At 54.2% G+C, this 17,763-nt stretch overlaps 1 protein-coding gene across 24 annotated transcripts in view, besides 3 other annotated features; it reads left to right on the top strand.

The window, feature by feature from the left end:
* TLE3 (TLE family member 3, transcriptional corepressor) overlaps positions 1-17,763 on the top strand; it is a 50,128-nt gene that overhangs the window by 26,582 nt on the left and 5,783 nt on the right. For 3 of the 24 annotated variants that reach the window (NM_001438838.1, XM_005254628.5, NM_001282982.2), the window contains 10 exons: positions 5,118-5,322; positions 6,866-6,882; positions 10,687-10,806; positions 11,876-11,926; positions 12,521-12,673; positions 13,045-13,150; positions 13,678-13,862; positions 14,962-15,038; positions 16,038-16,287; positions 16,651-16,898. In NM_001438838.1, coding sequence (NP_001425767.1) covers positions 5,118-5,322; positions 6,866-6,882; positions 10,687-10,806; positions 11,876-11,926; positions 12,521-12,673; positions 13,045-13,150; positions 13,678-13,862; positions 14,962-15,038; positions 16,038-16,287; positions 16,651-16,898 — 1,412 coding nt within the window. Of the gene's footprint in view, positions 1-5,117; positions 5,323-6,865; positions 6,883-10,686; positions 10,807-11,875; positions 11,927-12,520; positions 12,674-13,044; positions 13,187-13,677; positions 13,878-14,961; positions 15,039-16,037; positions 16,288-16,650; positions 16,899-17,763 lie in introns of all 24 variants that reach the window. The other 21 variants (NM_001105192.3, NM_001438147.1, NM_001282981.2 and 18 more) reach the window with 13 other exon arrangements.
* Positions 2,998-3,498: an enhancer, noted in NCBI's record as "H3K4me1 hESC enhancer chr15:70360177-70360677 (GRCh37/hg19 assembly coordinates)". NCBI's record gives its function as "activates a minimal SCP1, AML or CMV promoter by ChIP-STARR-seq in naive H9 embryonic stem cells {active_cell/tissue: H9 hESC(naive)}" and the evidence as "EXISTENCE:reporter gene assay evidence [ECO:0000049][PMID:30033119]".
* Positions 3,499-3,999: an enhancer, noted in NCBI's record as "H3K4me1 hESC enhancer chr15:70359676-70360176 (GRCh37/hg19 assembly coordinates)". NCBI's record gives its function as "activates a minimal SCP1, AML or CMV promoter by ChIP-STARR-seq in naive H9 embryonic stem cells {active_cell/tissue: H9 hESC(naive)}" and the evidence as "EXISTENCE:reporter gene assay evidence [ECO:0000049][PMID:30033119]".
* Positions 13,478-13,978: an enhancer, noted in NCBI's record as "H3K4me1 hESC enhancer chr15:70349697-70350197 (GRCh37/hg19 assembly coordinates)". NCBI's record gives its function as "activates a minimal SCP1, AML or CMV promoter by ChIP-STARR-seq in primed H9 embryonic stem cells {active_cell/tissue: H9 hESC(primed)}" and the evidence as "EXISTENCE:reporter gene assay evidence [ECO:0000049][PMID:30033119]".

Raw genomic sequence — 17,763 nt, 5'->3', positions numbered from 1 at the left:
TCTACCGAGGGAAGAGAAGTGGAAGATTGTCTCTCTTCTAGCTGGGGCCTGGCAAGACTTGGTTACAGTAGCCCTGTTTCTGTTACATGCTTCTTGGATCCAATTAACAGGAGGGGCTTTAGAAGGACAAGATTCCTGAGCACGAGGAGGGAAATTTGACACTTGGTCAGCAACCTGCAGAAGGCAGCATCTATATTTCCCAAGCAGATTTAAGACCCTTTGAGCCGATATATCACCCATTTCTGGAACCCTCTTGTTACATTGCTATATCATGGCCCAAGATCTTTGGACTGGAAAGTGGAGGAGGTCTCATCTGCTTACCTACTGACAATTTGGTCTTCATTCCCTTGGAAATTAACAGTAGGGGAGATGTCACAGAGCATTGACTTGATTTTTTTTTTAAGTGGGAGGGAGGAGAGGAAGAGGGACGTTGTAGCTTGTCACAAAATACACAGGATATTTTGAAGCCATACCTAAGGTATTCACTCCAGGATGTGGATGAGCTGCATTCAGTTGACTGAATTTTGTGTGAGGGGAAAGGATGGCCAAGAGAATGTGCCTTAGGATCCGTCTTTCAGCCAGGCAGCCATGGTGGAAGGAGGTAACGCTGAGTTTGAGTCTGGGCTCTGGTTGCTGATGGCTTCATGGAGCTGTTCAGCCTCCCGAGCCTGTTCACCATCTCTGAAGTGGGGATCACAAGGGTTGTTGTGAGCACTAAAAGCTATTACCAACCCCAGAAGCTCAATGCGTGTGGAGCTATGGTGCCCACTGAGTGATGTGAAAGAGAAGGAGCAGTCGGAGGCCTGGAGCTGTTCTCGCTGTCCTTGGAGGGCAGGAAGTGTTCATTTTACGCTGTCAGGACCCTGTCTGACTCCTCTGGTGGGAGCCCTTGGCGGGTCTTGGCTCTGGAAATGCTTAGACAACTTCACTACGTTCAACCCAAATCATGAACCTGAGAAACGCAGCATTAAATCACCTAGCGAAGGCCTAAGGCGTGATGTGCATAATCCAATTACACGTACTCTGCAAGCAAGATCTTCCCTTCAACCTCTCCTGGAAGTGACTGCACCTTCTGAGCCAGGCCATGGGTGCTTATCACTTGTGTGGAGTACATGTTCGTTGTCCTATTTGTGCTCTGGCAGGAAATGTTCAAGGAGGGAAAAGTGAACGCCCATGCATGGGCTTGGTTCCAGGCTCCTAGCGCCTCTTTGGGGTTAGGGATGCAAGAGGGAATTATTGACTTCCTTTCATATTGTGGATGGAGGAGTTCCCATATTGGAAGGAATGGTATAAGCTGGAGACAGGCGGTCTCTGATTGTGGAATTGATTCCATTTCTCTGCCATGGGGAAAGCTACCCAGTTGAAAACAGTATCAGCCTCCCACTCAGACATCACTGTGTTTGAGCACATTGTGCTCTGAAGCCAGCAGACGTGTTGCAGGGGATAGGAATACAGCCTGAGGATAGCTGTGCCCGCCTGCCTGCAGAGGTGCTGAGCTGTGATAGGGACGGGGGTCAGGTGGGGCTTTGCCCACTGGCCCCCACACCTGTCAGGGAAAAATCTTCGTTTCACTCTCTGTTGTACCCAAGATTGTTGTTAGCGGACCCTCCGTCTGACAAGCCCTGGCATCTGCTCTTGCACTGAGGAAGGAGCCTTGGAGGTTGGCTCTCCTGTCCCTGCTTCCCAGAGTCTGCTGGACCGGTCCTTGCTGTGCCTTCAAACCACCCCAAGGAGACCTCGAGGGAGTTTCTGGCTCTTTGCAGCAGGTTGCTCTTGCACTCAGAGATGAGGAACGCTTCAGTTTTGCATGGGAGATTCCTTTTCTCTTTTGCAAAGAGGACGCTCCTACCTGACAACACTAAGGCAGAAAACCAGCCTCTCAGCCTTGGAAGCTTAACAGCTTTGAAAGCCACTGTCTGCCAAACAGCCGCTGCTGCCTTTGTTCCAAGTTTCTGACGTCGGTTCACTGGTTCATGTTTTGGGCAAGCAGGACACCTCATGACCCCATTGATGCTTCCTGTCCCAACTAACTGTTCTAGCTGCGTCTAATTGGGCCTTGGAAGGAAGGCATGGAGCTGGGAGGCGGTTGGCACCTGTGGACACCATTTCTCAGCCTCTTCATATACCTTTTCCAAAATTTTCACTAATTTACCCACAAGACATGTACTGAGCAAACATGCCAGGCACTGTTAGAGGTGCTAGGATGGAGAAGACACAGTCTCTGTTTCTGGAACTCACAGGTTGCCAAGCAGTGCACAAAGGCAAAAGAAACAGTGTACACCTGGGATCTGTCTGTTTGCTAAGATTGAGCACCTGCTCCATTTTTACCTGTAGTCACACATGTGATCCTGGCACAACACAGAGAGGTCGGCTGACTTGTCCAAGGACTCATAGCTGATAAAGGATAGAGCTGGAAGTCTGCCTTATTCTGCCTGGCTCCATTGTCTGTGCCGTTAGAGCTCTTAGAACAGAGAAATCCATTCTGACCTGAAGTGGGAGGGCATTCAGAGGATATGGCCTTTGAACTGGGCAAAGCTGAGCCTAGAAGGTTGGGTAGGAGAAGAGACCTTTCCTGGTAAGATAAGAGTCAGGGTGCGTGGAGCTATTCAACTCCATCTTGCCTTGGGTACAAATGTTCAGTGCACATTTTCTCTAGAAACAGACTTGTTCATGAAAGGAGTTAGCTGTGTCTGCAGGCAGCAAAGCTACTTCTTTGAAGCCTTCTTTCCCCTCCTCTTCTTTGTCTCTTCCTCAAGGGATCTTATTGGCTCTGCACTATAAAATGTGGATTAAATACCTTGCTTTCAGTCCTTGCTTTCTGGGATTTTACTAAATAGTTATCACCAGCAGAATTAACGGGCCTACCAACAATTTGTCTAAACAAAGGGGCCCTACTGGAGACTCATTTTAAAACCAGGTATCCAGATAAAGTTGTATTGTCCGACCACACCAGGGAATACTAGGTAGCCATTAAAAAGGACAAGAAAATTTCTTCAGAACATTCCTAAATTAAAATCAAGCTGTATAGCAGTATGGTTCACAGGAGTCCATTTCTGTATAAATACATTTGAAATGTGTAGATTTTCATAAAGAAAAACCTAGGCAGATTTAACAGTAGAATCTTCCGAGGGTAGGATTGAAGGGTAATTTTAAAAACTTTTTAATGTCTACTTATTTTTAGTATTTTCTTAAAATGGGCATGTATTAGTTTTGTAATAAGATATTAAAAATTACATTTTCTTAAAAAAGAAAAAGTGGAGGAGCTCAGAGTAAGCGCCCATCCTAGAGGAGCTGGAGTTTCTTAGCTGGGAGGGGTTGGATCTCCGCATTGGACTCTGTGATGCTGGCTCCAGGGGCCCCCATAGCTTTGTGTCTGCCATAGTGTCTCAGTGCAGATGTGGGGTCAGACCACCCTGGGACAGTGCCCATGAACTGCCTAGCAACAGACGTCACAGAAGTGCTCTGACAGCTTTGAACAACGGCCGCAGTGCCAGCCTTTCACCCAGAACTGACAAAGGGAGCCCTCTGGGGCCAGGAGTGCCATGGCTTCTGTGGCTGCCGTTAACTTTGGGATGAGGCCAGGTGGGCAGTTTGCAGCTTAGCTGGGGGAGAGTAGGGCCCTTTATCCATAACCTGAAATGCTTACTGCCTCCTCCTGCCAGAGCCATGGGCCTTCACTGTGTTCTGTTATCTGTTCGCGGTTGCCAGAAAACCATCTCATATTGACAGGCGAGCTCCCTTAGTAAGGTGTGAGATCTGGAAGCTTCTCAGATCTATTCTCTATGGCACTTTCCACCAACCCCTCTTGCTTTGGGGATCTTCTTAGGAATGAGCATTCTTTGGATGAGGGGTGGTGGTTGACAGATTTACTAGTGGTGGGATTTGGCCAATTACTAGCTACCTACTCCAGCCCCCTAAGCATCTATTAAATGGCCACAACCCCTCCCTTGCCAGGTGGTTGGAAGGTGCCCAGGCATTCATTCAGGCATTCAGTAAATGTTAGTTTTCTTCTCTTGCACTAGTTGAGAAGAAAGATGTGTGCATAGGTGGATACCAGCATACCTAACTTCTCTTTCAGTAGTGGAGAAGAAGTTGGGTGGGGCGAAGGGAGAGGAAAGAGAAGCCCAAGCCCCTGAGGCTAGTGTTGAGTGGGGAAGTTGGGCCTCTGGAGCCAGGGCAGCGGAGTCCTTGACTGGGGAGGAGACAGGGAGAATTGCATTGTTGTTGATAATACTGACTTGCTGCATGGCAAGTTTTTAGAAGGGTTCAGCAATCCATTTTAAACTCTTTGTAAATGTTAGCTACTGCCATGAGGCTTAGTAGCTGTGCGCCATGAGCTGCTGCAAACATTATCTTACAATAATCCTCTGGGGTCTGCTGCTTTCCCCCTTTACAGATAAGGAAATTTGAGGCTCCAGGACTTGAAGTAACCTGCCCCAGGCCACACAGCTAGGAAGTGCCAGAGCTGGGATTTCAATCCTGTTCTGTCTAGTTCCAAAGCCTCCACTCTTCCAGTTACCCCGTTTTCCACCACTGATGTCCGGTGACGTTAGCTCTCATTCCACTGGCCCCCAGCTCATCTGGCTCTGGGGCCTTTGCTGTGATGACCTGCCCTGCCCCTGCTCTGTAAGGCAGGCTTGGAGTTCCTAAGAAATAAGGAGCCTTCCCCAGGGTCCAGCCTCAGGGTGGAAGATGCTGGCAGCTAATGCTGAAGGCATGTATGCATGAGCAAACACTGCCAGGGCTGTGAGCTTAAAAATGGATCCCTCTCTACTCAGAGGGAACCCCATGACTCTGCGGTTTTTTAAATGCATGCATTCTTTATCTCAGGCTTGGAAACAAACATTGAGAAATTATTTGTGAAACGGGGGTGCAGGGAGTTGGGGGGTGCTTGAAGACATAAATCTTTACATTACAGTCTATTAACAGACTTCCTTCAGCGAGACATTCATGTGAACTGAGCTGGGGGCAAAGGTTTTGGGGGTGCTTCCCCCTGCCACCCACCCAGTGAAGGAGCAAGAGGAATGGGAAGAGCCACTCCCTCCCTCCCTCCTGAGGTGGCCACGCCTCCCCTGCCCTCCCCAACTCAGCTGTACTCACCACCGACTTCATTGCAGCAGCAGCAGCTCCAGGCGCAGCACCTCTCCCATGCCACACACGGCCCCCCGGTCCAGTTGCCACCCCACCCGTCAGGTCTCCAGCCTCCAGGAATCCCCCCAGTGACAGGGAGCAGCTCCGGGCTGCTGGCACTGGGCGCCCTGGGCAGCCAGGCCCATCTGACGGTGAAGGATGAGAAGAACCACCATGAACTCGATCACAGAGGTGCGGCTGGGCTGGGGCAGAGGGTGGGGCGGGGCAGGGGTGGGCATGGGCGCTCATAGGCCTCACAGTGAGTGGACCCAGCAAGTGCTGTCGTCCTAAGACCAGGAGTTACCAAGGATTTGGAGTCATCTGTTGATACCTGGTGCAGGGAAGCCAATGCCATCCGCATCCCATGCACCTTTTCCTACTCCTTGGTGTGGACCTGGTATTCTCTGTCCTGAAGACCCTGTCTGTTCATCTGGAGCTCGCTCCCATCTTCCTACAACACCCTTGCCTGTCCTTCAGGGGCCAGCCCCAGTCCAACCCTTCAGGATGCCTTCCTGGTCAGACTAGGGGCTTTTTCAAGTTCCTGTAAGAGTTTAAGAGTTGGGATGCCAAAGTTGAGTCCTTGTTACTGTCGTCTTACATCCTACCCCTGGAAAATGTCTTGTGCTCACCACGATCATTAGTTCCCTAGGACAGGTGCCAAGTTCTTGGGTGTTTTCCTTACATCTATGTCTCACCAATGCAGAAACCTGGGAAAGGTGCACAGTCAGTGCTCAGGTAAAGGTTTGTTAGCTGACTGCCTGTAAGTGGGGGTAGTGCACACCCCAGCAAGAGATCACATAGACTTGGAGTCAGAACTTGTTCTCTGACCCTCTCTGCAGCCCCTACCATGAGGACCCATGAAGCTGCACCGAGCTTGGCCTCAGGAGTGGTTCATTGGATCAGAAAAGAGAAAAGCCTGGCTCCCTGGGAGGCCCTTTTCAAAAATTGGTGCCAAATGCACTCTGCCCTTAGATACGGTATTTACTGGGGCACGTAGCCAACACCTTCTGAGCACTAGGGACCTGGAATGTCACCATCCTGCCTTGGCCCAGGCCACAGGGTGGTAGCCGGTCCAGGGAACTGGAGGCTACATTTTTTTGTCTTACAGTAGGATGGTCCTTTTGGCAGAGGAAGAGGGGCCTCTCCATAGCAGACAGGAGAACTGGGGAGCTAGTGCTTAGCTGGGCACAGTTTCAGAGGCTTCAGCTTTTAGGGGCATCCTGACAAAGAATCACAGAATGGTGTTAATTTCAAAAACAAAATTAAACCACTGTTAAATTCCTTTTTTTTTTTTTTTTTTTAACAATAAAGTTCTTAACTCCCAGGTCCTACTGGTATTTTATATGGCATGATCCTTCTCAAGCTTGTGATCTTAAGACCCCTAGCCTGCTAAAGAGTAAACTTGGTGCCCTCTGGCATGACAGGGAGAACTGGGTCAAAGGCCTACCCTCCCCACCCTGGGGACTGGGCCTCCCTTGCCCACCCTGGGGACTAGAGGGGTGGGGGCAGCATTGGAATTTGGGTGGCAAATTTCCAAACCGAGAAACGCCACCTAATGGCCCTGCCTTGGCTGATCCACGGAGACAGCAATCCAGGCCTTCTGCTCATTTTAAAACCAGTGCACTAGCAAATCACAAAAGCCAGCTGGACTTAGACTGACCTTTTTCCTTTCTTTTTTGTCTTTTTGTTTTGGGGTGCCTGACCTTCCTCCTGTCCTGGCCTTCTTTCCCCAAAGAGAGAGAATCCAGTGCGGTAAGTGTTGGCACTCTGGAACCCGGAGGGGTGTTTGGGTGCTGGGAGGAGGTGGGACTCGGGGCTCCCAGAATCGCGGGCCTGAGACCAGTCAGTCGGTATCCAAAGCTGGCTTCTGGGTTCCCGCTTCTGCTCTGTGGGTTGTAACTAGGGATTTTGTTGTTTGTTTACTCTTGCTGAGCTGGGAGCTTCAGTGCTGATGTCTTAGTCCAGAGCCAGTGGCAGGGTGAGGGGTAGCTACTGTCATAAAATGGGAGCTGCTGTCGTCACCTGTTGAGAGTGACCTTCAGTTGTGGAAGCCCTTCCTCTCTCCAGGCTTTAGGTCTGCCATTTGTCAAATGAAGAGCTTGGGCTAAATGAGCTCTAACTCCGTTTCATATGAGAGGTGATACTCTGAGAGGTCAGCTGACCAGCCCTGGATCTTCCATTGCGAGGGGCTTTGTGGAGTCTCTGGGCTAAACCCAGGGCTAAGGACCCAGGTGTCCCATGTTCAGGGCCAAGGTTTTTACCACCCCCCTGCTAGGATGCCTCCTGTATGATCTTGCATCCTCCTCATTCCCTTCAAACGCCTGCAGTTTCTCCCTGCTCTGGGCTTTCACTCGATTTAAGAAAGTGCTAGCAGGCGAGCATTAAGGCCAGGCCGCCTGCGTGTCTGCCAGCTCTGAGATTTGTTGTAAATCTTTCTGATCACACTGAGGCTCCGAGGTTCTGTTTCAAGTGAATAAGCCTTCTGAATAAGCGCAGTGGAGTCTGGATAAAAAAAATCCTCCAGCGATTAGCAAAGCTATTTTATTCCTCATCGCTGTCCTTGTATCTGGGGCCATCTAATCTGTTAGGATGGCTTTGGTTATTACCTCGTGTTAAGTAGGACTTGGAAGGTCAGGCAGTTAACTAACCATCTAGACAGCAGCTTCCTTGCGCAGCTCTCTCCAATCCAGCCCTCCTTCCCTTCCTGGCCCTCCCCCTACCCAGGCTGACTTTTTAAACCTCCCATTAGCAGTGAGGCTGGCGTCCGTGGCCTCTTGACCCGCCTACATGCTCAGAAATCCAGGACCACATTTGGGCTGAGGAATGGCTAGGTACCTAAGAGAGGAGTCATTGAAGCTGAAAATCCATGTTCACTGCCTCGGTACTGATCCTCTAACAGTGGCATTTTTTCGGAGAGGCAGTTTGCCTAGATAGGCGGAGGCCTGGATTGGACATTTTAAGGCTGAGGTCTGGTCCCAGCTTTATGAGGCCCTGTGTAGTTCTCTTGGCCTCTCTGAGCCTCAGTTTCCTTATCCATACCATGGGAATAATTCCTGCTTGACCAACCTCTCAGCTTTGTTTCGGAAGACCCTTTATAACCTGACTGAGGATCCAGATTACCTGGCTAGCAGGGACCCACTTCAGTGGAATTGGAGGGGGAGTGGGAAGCCCAGCACTCTCTAAAGAGCATGAGTCTTTACCTCATCCTCATCCCTATTGGCTTCTGGCTTTGTGCCCCATCTGTGAAAGTTTTCTGCTAAAAGACCCCCCCTGGGAACCCCCAAGAGCTGGGCTGTTTACCATGCTCGCTGAGGTCCATGCATGGCACACATGGGCCTCAGGAAACTCCAGTGGGAATGAATCAAGATGCTGGGCAGAGGCAGCAGTGGGCAGGGCCGAGGCTGTGCGCATGGCATGTGGCGTGGTGACGGTGTCAGCGGCGGTGTAGACTGAAATAATCAGGCTTTGGAAACCAGGTTGTCAACAGATGAGGCCTACGGCAGGAAGGACAGGGCTGTGTCAGAGTGGGAGGGGGGATGGGGGGACGGGCTGGAAGCTGTCCCAGAGGGGTTAGTCTGGAGTCCAATTAGTGGTAGCTTCATTCATATTTCCTTGCCTAGCCGAAGCAATAAAAAATACTTAGTTTTTTGGCCGCCTGCCAGCCAGAGGCGGGCTGGATCGATGCCGCTAAATGCCTGACATGACTCTCCGGTAGCGGCGAGGGTTTTCAGCCTGACTGCATGAGAAGAAAGAGCTCGCTGTTCTCCCGAGCCGAGCACCGGGTCGCGAGGAGAAACACGAGCAGCCGCACGCCCCCTCCCCTGCCCGCCCGCCTGCAAGGGGCAGCCAGTGCGAGGGGCTGGAAGCATTTCTGCTTAGCACAGGGTGGCCACCACCGTCAGAGGAAATGAAATGAAATGACGGTGATTTTTCTGCCGGCGATTGCAGCAGCTAATTGAATTGTGGCTGTGCGCGCATCGCCACCGCTCCTGCACGGCTGTGGGGAAGGTTGAGCTGCAGTTCCATTATAACCTCCATTTTTTCTTCAAGGCTTGATAACTCTGCCATTTTAATTTGCTTCGGGCAGAAACTTGGCCGGGTAGGGCTGCCCAGAACCCGGCTTAGGAAAGGAAATTAAGTTCTGAGGCTGGTTGCCGCACTATTCCCACCGAATACTGCCCAGCCCCGTTCCCTCCAAGTGGCCCTTGCCCCTGAGCCACGCTTGGCCTCTGGGAAAGTGGAGAAGAGAAGGGAAGCCTCATTCCACTTGCCTTCTGATGCTCTTCTCTTCTGAACAGATGTCCCTCTGGGTCTCCATATGACCTCCTGTGTTGCATGGGGACTGGGACCTGGGATGGCCTGTCCTTTTCTTCCAGCTCCATCATAGCTGGACCATGAGCTCCTGGAGGGCAGGGATTGTATCTCATTCATTCTGCCACTCCTGGCCTGCAGCACCAGGGCTGACCCAGGGCAGCTGCTCGGAAATTGGTGGGTGGGTGAAGGTAAAGTTTGGACTCTTAGAAAGGAGTAAACCTCACCAATATCATAGAGGGGCATTGGTCCTGATATTAGTCTCTGGGCACAGAGGTTTGCTGGCAGGTGCCCTTGCCAGTTGCACTTCCCTCCCTGCTCCCCAGCTCGGTGGTAACAGCCACATGGTGATTTCTGACCACTATCAACCCCTAGGACTACTCCGTCATCTTCCCTCTTCCCAGGCCTCCCATCCCAAAGGCTTCTCATCCTCATTTGCTTTATAGTTGAGGGAGAACTCACGAAATTTTGGGGTTCCCTTTGTGCCACCTTCTGCTAGGGGAGCTTGGGCACATTCACCAACCTCTTGGGGTCTCCACTTGGTGATGGCTACAGAGGCAGTGACTGTCCCTGCCCTTGCTCCTTTCCCTGTCTGTCAGAGGGAAAGGCTTCATGACGTGGCATTTTTGTTTTTTTTACAACCCTGGTGTTTCTCCAGAGTTGCTGACAGCCTCACCGTGGAGGCGGGGGTGTTCACACAGAACGCTTGGCTGCTCATCTCCACTGGGAAGTTGGTGGCTGCCTGACGCCCTCCTTCCCTATCAATCTCCCCATTCCTGTCGGGCTCAGCAAATGAAGTATTGCTCATGGCCCCTGCCTGTCAGCTCAGATCCATCTTACAAGACTCAGTGCAAATTCCACTTATCCCTCCTTTGAGCAAATGAGTGTGGCAAGCGCGAGATGGGTGGTGAATGAGACCCAGGTGACCCTCGCCCTCACAGAGCGTAGTCCCACAGGCCAGAAGGCAGACGGCTTACTGCAGGGTTAATTATTTAATAGCAGTGCAGAGCTGCAAAAGAGAATTGGGGATGCGCCCAGGGCATCTCCCCGGGGACTCAGTCTCAGGGGAGTGGGGAAGGCTTCCCTGGCAAGGCTCTGATGGAGCCACGATCTGCAGGGCAGAGAGGAGTTCAGCTTCTCTTCCCTCCCCTGACCTCCGTGTCACCTGCACTTAGCTGTGTGCGGATGTGTGAATTGTTACACGCAGCAGAAAGTTTTAACCCCGAACCCTCTTTTTCCTTCCAGAATAACTCTGTGTCACCCTCGGAAAGCCTCCGGGCCAGTGAGAAGCACCGGGGCTCTGCGGACTACAGCATGGAAGCCAAGAAGCGGAAGGCGGAGGAGAAGGACAGCTTGAGCCGATACGTACGTCCAAGGCGCCATGGCACCACTGGGGTTTCTGTTGGGTAGGGCAGGGGGTGTCTGCAGGGCCCAAGCTGTGGCCAGGGTCTTCTTGTGGTTGGCAGTGAGTCAGAGAAGCACAGGTTGGCGATAGGGGACCCTATTGAGGAGAGCAGGGTGGGAACAGGGCTAGGGTGAAGTTCACACACGCTATGAGCATGCGAGCCACTGTGGGGCGGAGGTGGATGGGGAGGTCGTCCTAGCCTCCATGGGGTCTCTTCCCACAGACAGGCCAACAACCCCATGCTGCTGTCATGGTGCTGCCGGAATCCCACTTGGCTCTAAGGGGCTGCTCCCAGTGACCCCCAAAATGTGGACCCTATAGTCCTCTCAGTTGGCCTGAGGCATGCACTCACTTGGCCACCCAGTCATGGCTTTTACTAGCCTTTTAATGGGATGCCCCCGGCACGTGAGACCCTAGTGGAAGCATGGCTGTTGTGTTTCCCCTGTGTCAGGCTGTGCAGGGCTGAGAGCTGGGACAGAGGGAAGGGGAGGATATGGTGCAGGGCCTCAGCGGTCTTGCACCCAGCCCTCTTCAGCCACATGGCTGCTGTGTGGCTTTGGACACATTGAGCACCCAAAGGACACTCAGCTGTGTTTCTGTGAGAGGAGGCAAGTTACTATCCCACACAGATGGGTGGGAATGACCAGGTGAGAGCAGCACACTGACTGTGAAGGATGGTGGATGTAAAACCAGCTGGGAAGAAGGTTCTGGCTTCAGAGAGAAGCAGAAGGGCAGGCTGTGGGGGCAGGGGCTTAGAACTGCTATGATGGAGCGGGTGTCAGTGCGGCTGCCCAGTGGGTACAGGAGTGGAGTAACCCGGGGCCTGGGCTAGGGGACAGCCTCACGGGGAGACCGTGTTGAGCTGGAGTGGAGCCTGTTGAAGGGCAGGGCTGGAGTAGAAAGCATGGACTTTGGGGTTTGGCCTGGCTTCAGGTCCTGGCCAGTAGAAGGACAGGGTGGTTTGGGCTCAGTCAGGGGTGGGGAAAGTGTGGCCTCTTACTGACCAGTTGGCTTCTCTCTTGGTTGCAGGACAGTGATGGAGACAAGAGTGATGATCTGGTGGTGGATGTTTCCAATGAGGTATGGGCAGGCCCGGTCGCAAGGGGGCTCTTGGTTTGGCATGGTTTGGAATTATTCCTCCCCAGGGTGGGATCTATTCTGTCTGTTCTAGTATTACTGGCAGCCTGAGCAGGGAGACAAGGCCTCCAGTCTTGGGGTCTCAGGGGGTCAAGAGGAGCAGGGCAGGGCTTTGCTGCATGGTGTCTGGGCATTTATGGGCCTGGAGGGCCTCCTGCAATGGGTCTCCAGAGAGACACCCCCAAAGATCCCAGGTAGGGGCCATCTTCTATTCCCCGTGATCCTCCGTCCCCCCAGGGTCTCAGCCTCAGGGGCCTGAGGAGGAGCTGGAGAGCATCTACATTTGGCCAAACCCAGCCATGCTGATTGAAGTCCTGAACTTGTGTTTGACATTGGGAAGACCATCCTTCCACCCTCCCTAGGCCTCAGTCAGACCAGATGGTTAAGAGCTAGTTTTTCCTCACTGTGGGGCCCCCAGTCTTTCAGCCAAGCTCGTCTTCCCATCGCCCATGCCCTCTCTCTTCCCACTCCCAGAGCAGGGAAGCCTCGAGGCTGGCTGTTGCTTTCAGTGCATCTCTGCATCACTTGTGTTTTCAGGACCCCGCAACGCCCCGGGTCAGCCCGGCACACTCCCCTCCTGAAAATGGGCTGGACAAGGCCCGTAGCCTGAAAAAAGATGCCCCCACCAGCCCTGCCTCGGTGGCCTCTTCCAGTAGCACACCTTCCTCCAAGACCAAAGACCTTGGTCATGTATGTGGGGTCTGGGTGGAAGGGAGTGGGAAGGGAGCGGCAGGGACTGGAGCTGGGGTGGTGCCGATTGGCAGGCAGAGGGGTGGAGTGGGAGAAGCTGGGTGGGTGATTGGCCCCGGTTTACCTTCTGTGCCTGCTGGGCCTGTGCTAATGAGTTAACGTTTCTGAGCCTCGGTTGCTACGTCTGTAAAATGGGAGTGATCACCCCAGTCCCTGCCAAACAAGGTTGGGCAAGGATTGAGAGGCTGTTCGGCAGAAGCTTCATAAGGGTCTGGCTCTGGGCTTCACGTTGGGACCGGCACCAGTTGTGCCCGGCTCCTAGGAGAATGGAAGCCTCATGGCCTCCCTTGTTCTGCATCTCCCCTCTTCAGAACGACAAATCCTCCACCCCTGGGCTCAAGTCCAACACACCAACCCCAAGGAACGACGCCCCAACTCCAGGCACCAGCACGACCCCAGGGCTCAGGTCGATGCCGGGTAAACCTCCGGGCATGGACCCGATAGGTATAATGGGTAGGCACCATGGGCTGGGTTAATCTGATTGGGGGGAGGGGGTCTGCTCTTGGCCAGGGCAGGGGTGACACACACGCATGGGATAGAGCACAGGCAGTGTCTCCCAGGGCCTGCCCCTGGGGACTTCACGGTCAGATTTGAGGAGGTGACACCAGGGTTTCTGGGACCCCTGCTGGGCCAGACATGAAAGCAGCATCAGACGGGTCAGGGCTCCCAAAATCTGTTCCCACCCCTGTCATTAGTCCAGTGAGGCTCTAAGCAAGCCCATTTGGGCCTCCATATCCTGCTCTGTAAAAAGAGGTGGGTGCATCTGCCAAGCTCTAAGCTTCTTTGGCTCTGAAGGCAGGGATCCCACTTGGGTGGGTTCAGTCTGAGAGGACTGCCTGGAGCAGGCAGCTTAAGAATGCAGGGAGGGTTATTGCTGGGTGAGGCGGCCATGGCCATGTCCCAATCCACCTAAGGCCCACCTCCCTGACGCCCACCCCTCGCAGCCTCGGCTCTGCGCACGCCCATCTCCATCACCAGCTCCTATGCGGCGCCCTTCGCCATGATGAGCCACCATGAGATGAACGGCTCCCTCACCAGTCCTGGCGCCTACGCCGGCCTCCACAACATCCCACCCCAGATGAGCGCCGCCGCCGCTGCTGCAGCCGCTGCCTATGGCCGATCGCCAATGGTGAGCTTTGGAGCTGTACGTAGACCTTTTGGCTCCTTTCTTGGGGACTGGGCGTGGTGTGGGGAGCCAGTGGTTGGACGGGTGCTCCCCACATGCTAAAGGGGCCCCTCAGGGTCTCAAGGCCAGGCAGCTGCCCCTGTGGGAAGGTGTATCGGAAACAATTGAGACTTGGCTGGAAGGGTACACTCTTTGGGGCCAGCAGACCTGAGTTCCATCCCCCACTGGCCTGTGAGCCGCCCTGTGACCTCATGCAAGGCAGCCTCCCTTTTAGTCTGCAAAACGGGGCTGACACCTGGCTTTCCCAGCTCTGGGGGGTAGGAATCCCAGGGCAAGTCAGGTGATGTCCATGGAGCAGGGGTCTCGTAGATGGGACTGGTTGTACAAGACTTTCTATTGTGGTGAATAAATAATAAGAGTTAGGGGTCGAGCGCAGTGGCTCACGCCTGTAATCCCAGCACTTTGGGAGGCCAAGGCGGGTGGATCACCTGGGGTCAGGAAATCGAGACCAGCCTGGCCAGCCAACGTGGTGAAACCTCATCTCTACTAAAAATACAAAAATTAGCCGGGCGTGGTGGCAGGCGCTATTCGGGAGGTGAAGGCAGGAGACTCACTTGAACCTGGGAGGCAGAGGTTGCAGTGAGCCAAGATTGCACCACCGCGCTCCAGCTTGGGCGGCAGAGCGAGACTCCATCTCAAAAAAATAAAAATAAAAAGAAGAGTTAGGGTTGGCGGGGAGAGGGGCCCTTTTTCAGGAGACAGTTTTCCTTTTTACCTCCTGGACCTGGGGTGGCCTCCTCTCCACTGGCAGGCCCACTAGGACCACAGGAGAGGAAAGAAGTAGGGCAGGGCCAGCTCTGCCTTGCAGAACAGGGAGGATGCTGGTTCACAGTGGGGTCTGCACTGTCACCCCTTCCCTGCCACGGGCTGTCCTGGGCCTGTGTCTCCTCTGAATCAATGGGCTCTGCTCTGCTCAGCTTGTCTCTTGGGTTACAAAGTGGCAGAGCCGTGCAGGTAGGACCCCGGGTGGGTGGTGGAGGAGGCAGGGGTGGGGGTGTGTGGCAGCACGGCTGATGGAGGGCTGTCTTGCCTTGCTTTACAGGTTGGTTTTGACCCTCACCCCCCGATGCGGGCCACAGGCCTCCCCTCAAGCCTGGCCTCCATTCCTGGAGGAAAACCGTAAGCTTTGGCTATACTTACTGCATGCTTTGTAGGGTGGGCAGGAGAGAGCACTCTACCCCCAATTCCAACAACGCCCCTCATCCCCTGACCAAGGGTTTGCCCTGGTGCACCTCCCTTTGGAAAGGTATCTGTCCCTCTAGAGGCACCGAGGGCTGGTTGCAACCCCAGGAAACTGTAGCCAAGCCACACTTCTGAGCACCCACAGAAGCTCCCTCCGACAGAGGAGCCATGGAGTTAGCTAAGTACATGGCCACTGGGCTGGGAGAGAAGGAACACTCCTCACCGAGTCACCTGGAGCTGTGGTGGGCCTTGCCGACTCCTTTGGGTTCGACCTGCTGGGAAGGCCCCAGTGCCGCTGGTCGCAGGCCCTTCCCTGTCAGCAGTGCTTCCCTCCCCTGGAGGGCACACTCTCCCCGGCCCTTCACTTCCTTGGGTTGCTAGGAAACTAAAAGATTGAGCCTACAGATAATGCCGAGACACTGCCTGACACAGTCCTCTAATTGTCAACGAGAATCTAGATGCTGATTGAGAGGGCACCCACCAGAGCCTGAAACAGCAGGCAGGCCAGGCTGGCTCACCACAGGCTCTGACATGGACTTTCCCATTTGCTATTGCAGGGGCAAGCAGATCCCTTCCCTAATACCACCGGCTCCTAAAGCAAGAGGTGGCATTTCAGCCAGGCCCTTTCCAGGGTTGGCATGTTGGGGGAATGTATGGATCGTGGGAAAGGGCATTCCAGGACACCTGTGGGTTTCTGGTCTGATTTGAAGCAAGGATATATAACTGGGTGTAAAAATCAAAGCTGGTCTGTTAATCATGTCTACCTCGATGGAGCCATCCCAGTACATGGGGTTACTGGGTTCGAATGGTTTCAGAGCAGAGGGGGCTAGAGGCAGGGCAGCCAGTCGGGGGCAGTGCAGATGACCTGGGCCAGGCCTATGGGAACTCTGAGGGGCCGGGGTGGATGGCAGCAGTGACGGTTTCTCACCTTTTCAGAGCGTACTCATTCCATGTGAGTGCTGATGGGCAGATGCAGCCCGTGCCCTTCCCCCACGACGCCCTGGCAGGCCCCGGCATCCCGAGGCACGCCCGGCAGATCAACACACTCAGCCACGGGGAGGTGGTGTGTGCCGTGACCATCAGCAACCCCACGAGGCACGTCTACACAGGTGGCAAGGGCTGCGTGAAGATCTGGGACATCAGCCAGCCAGGCAGCAAGAGCCCCATCTCCCAGCTGGACTGCCTGGTGAGAATCCCAGGGCTGCTGCGCCGCCTCCAGCTGGTGTAGGAGGATGGGGCAGCCTGGGCCACAGGGGAGAGCCCCAGGGCCTGGCTCAGCATCGTATTGGCTGAGCAACTTTAGGCAAGCTGACTAACCTCTCTGAGCCTCAGTTGTGCCTTCTGTGTGTGGGGCTGATTCTGACCTCCTGGTATTCATGAAAGATCAAAGGGTTGTGAATTTGAGGAATGGGGACAGCCTGGCAGCTGCTGGGTATAGGGGGAGGCTGTAAGCAGGACTGGTGAGGGTGCTCGGTGTTGCTGGACAGGACTCTCCTGGTGCCCAGGAGGGGAAGTAGGCAGCACTCAGCCCTGCCCCTTCTCCCTCCAGAACAGGGACAATTACATCCGCTCCTGCAAGCTGCTCCCTGATGGGCGCACGCTCATCGTGGGCGGCGAGGCCAGCACGCTCACCATCTGGGACCTGGCCTCGCCCACGCCCCGCATCAAGGCCGAGCTGACGTCCTCGGCTCCCGCCTGTTATGCCCTGGCCATTAGCCCTGACGCCAAAGTCTGCTTCTCCTGCTGCAGCGATGGGAACATTGCTGTCTGGGACCTGCACAACCAGACCCTGGTCAGGTGAGCCGGCAGGAGGGAGCATTAGTGCCTCGTCCTGGGGAAGTTTTTACCCATCCTGCCTGGTCTTGTTTGCTGTGACCTTGGCCCTGTCTGAGGCACTGTGGGGTGGCCAGAACCGTTGGGATGAGGGATGCACAGGTGAAAAGACAGCTCCGCCTGCCTTATGCGAGGGACAGAGGAGGGAGGGCCATTGGGCCCAGGAGTTGGAGAGGGCTCTGGGAAGAAAGTGGAGCTGGAGCATGTCTGGGGAAGTGGAGGTCAGATTAGTGGAGCAAGCAGAGAGTCTGGGAGCAGAGCCCCAGAGACCAGATTAGGGAGACCCGACTGGGAAGCCACATCACGTGGTAGCTAAACAAGCCTCAGGACAAAACTGCTGGCTTTGAATCCTGCCTCCACTATGACCTAGTGCAAGTCGCTGAACCCCTGCGGCTCAGTTTCTTCCTGTGTAAAACAGTGACAGTGGAGCATCTTCCTCTGACTGTGCCGCAGCGCAAAGGCAGACGGGTGCCTGGCCCAGCTGACTCTTGTATACATGGGCTGTGTGTGTTATTCAGCGTGTTCATGGATGGCCTCAGCCCCATAGTTCATGCAGGATGAAGAGATAGATTAAGAGGGCAAATTGAGGGCGTGTGGAGTGCGAGTTAAGGAGCTGTGTCCTAAAGGCAGTGGGGCCCTGCATTCTCTTTATCAGTCATCTCACACGTAGCTTCCCCAGGGCCTTCCTGCCTTCCTCACCTTCCTGAGCCTCCAGCTCCACCTCCTCCAGAGGCCCACCCTGGAGGGACTCAGTCTCAGAAGGCTAGTGCAAGGTCCCTTTTTCACCTCCCCCCCCCATTTCCCAGGGGACTTGTCCCTGGGCAAACCC

The sequence above is a fragment of the Homo sapiens genome, chromosome 15 (genome assembly GCF_000001405.40).
Source record: "Homo sapiens chromosome 15, GRCh38.p14 Primary Assembly".
Taxonomy (NCBI): domain Eukaryota; kingdom Metazoa; phylum Chordata; class Mammalia; order Primates; family Hominidae; genus Homo; species Homo sapiens.
Note: the sequence above shows the minus strand (reverse complement) of the source record. Positions and strands in the feature narration are given on the sequence as shown.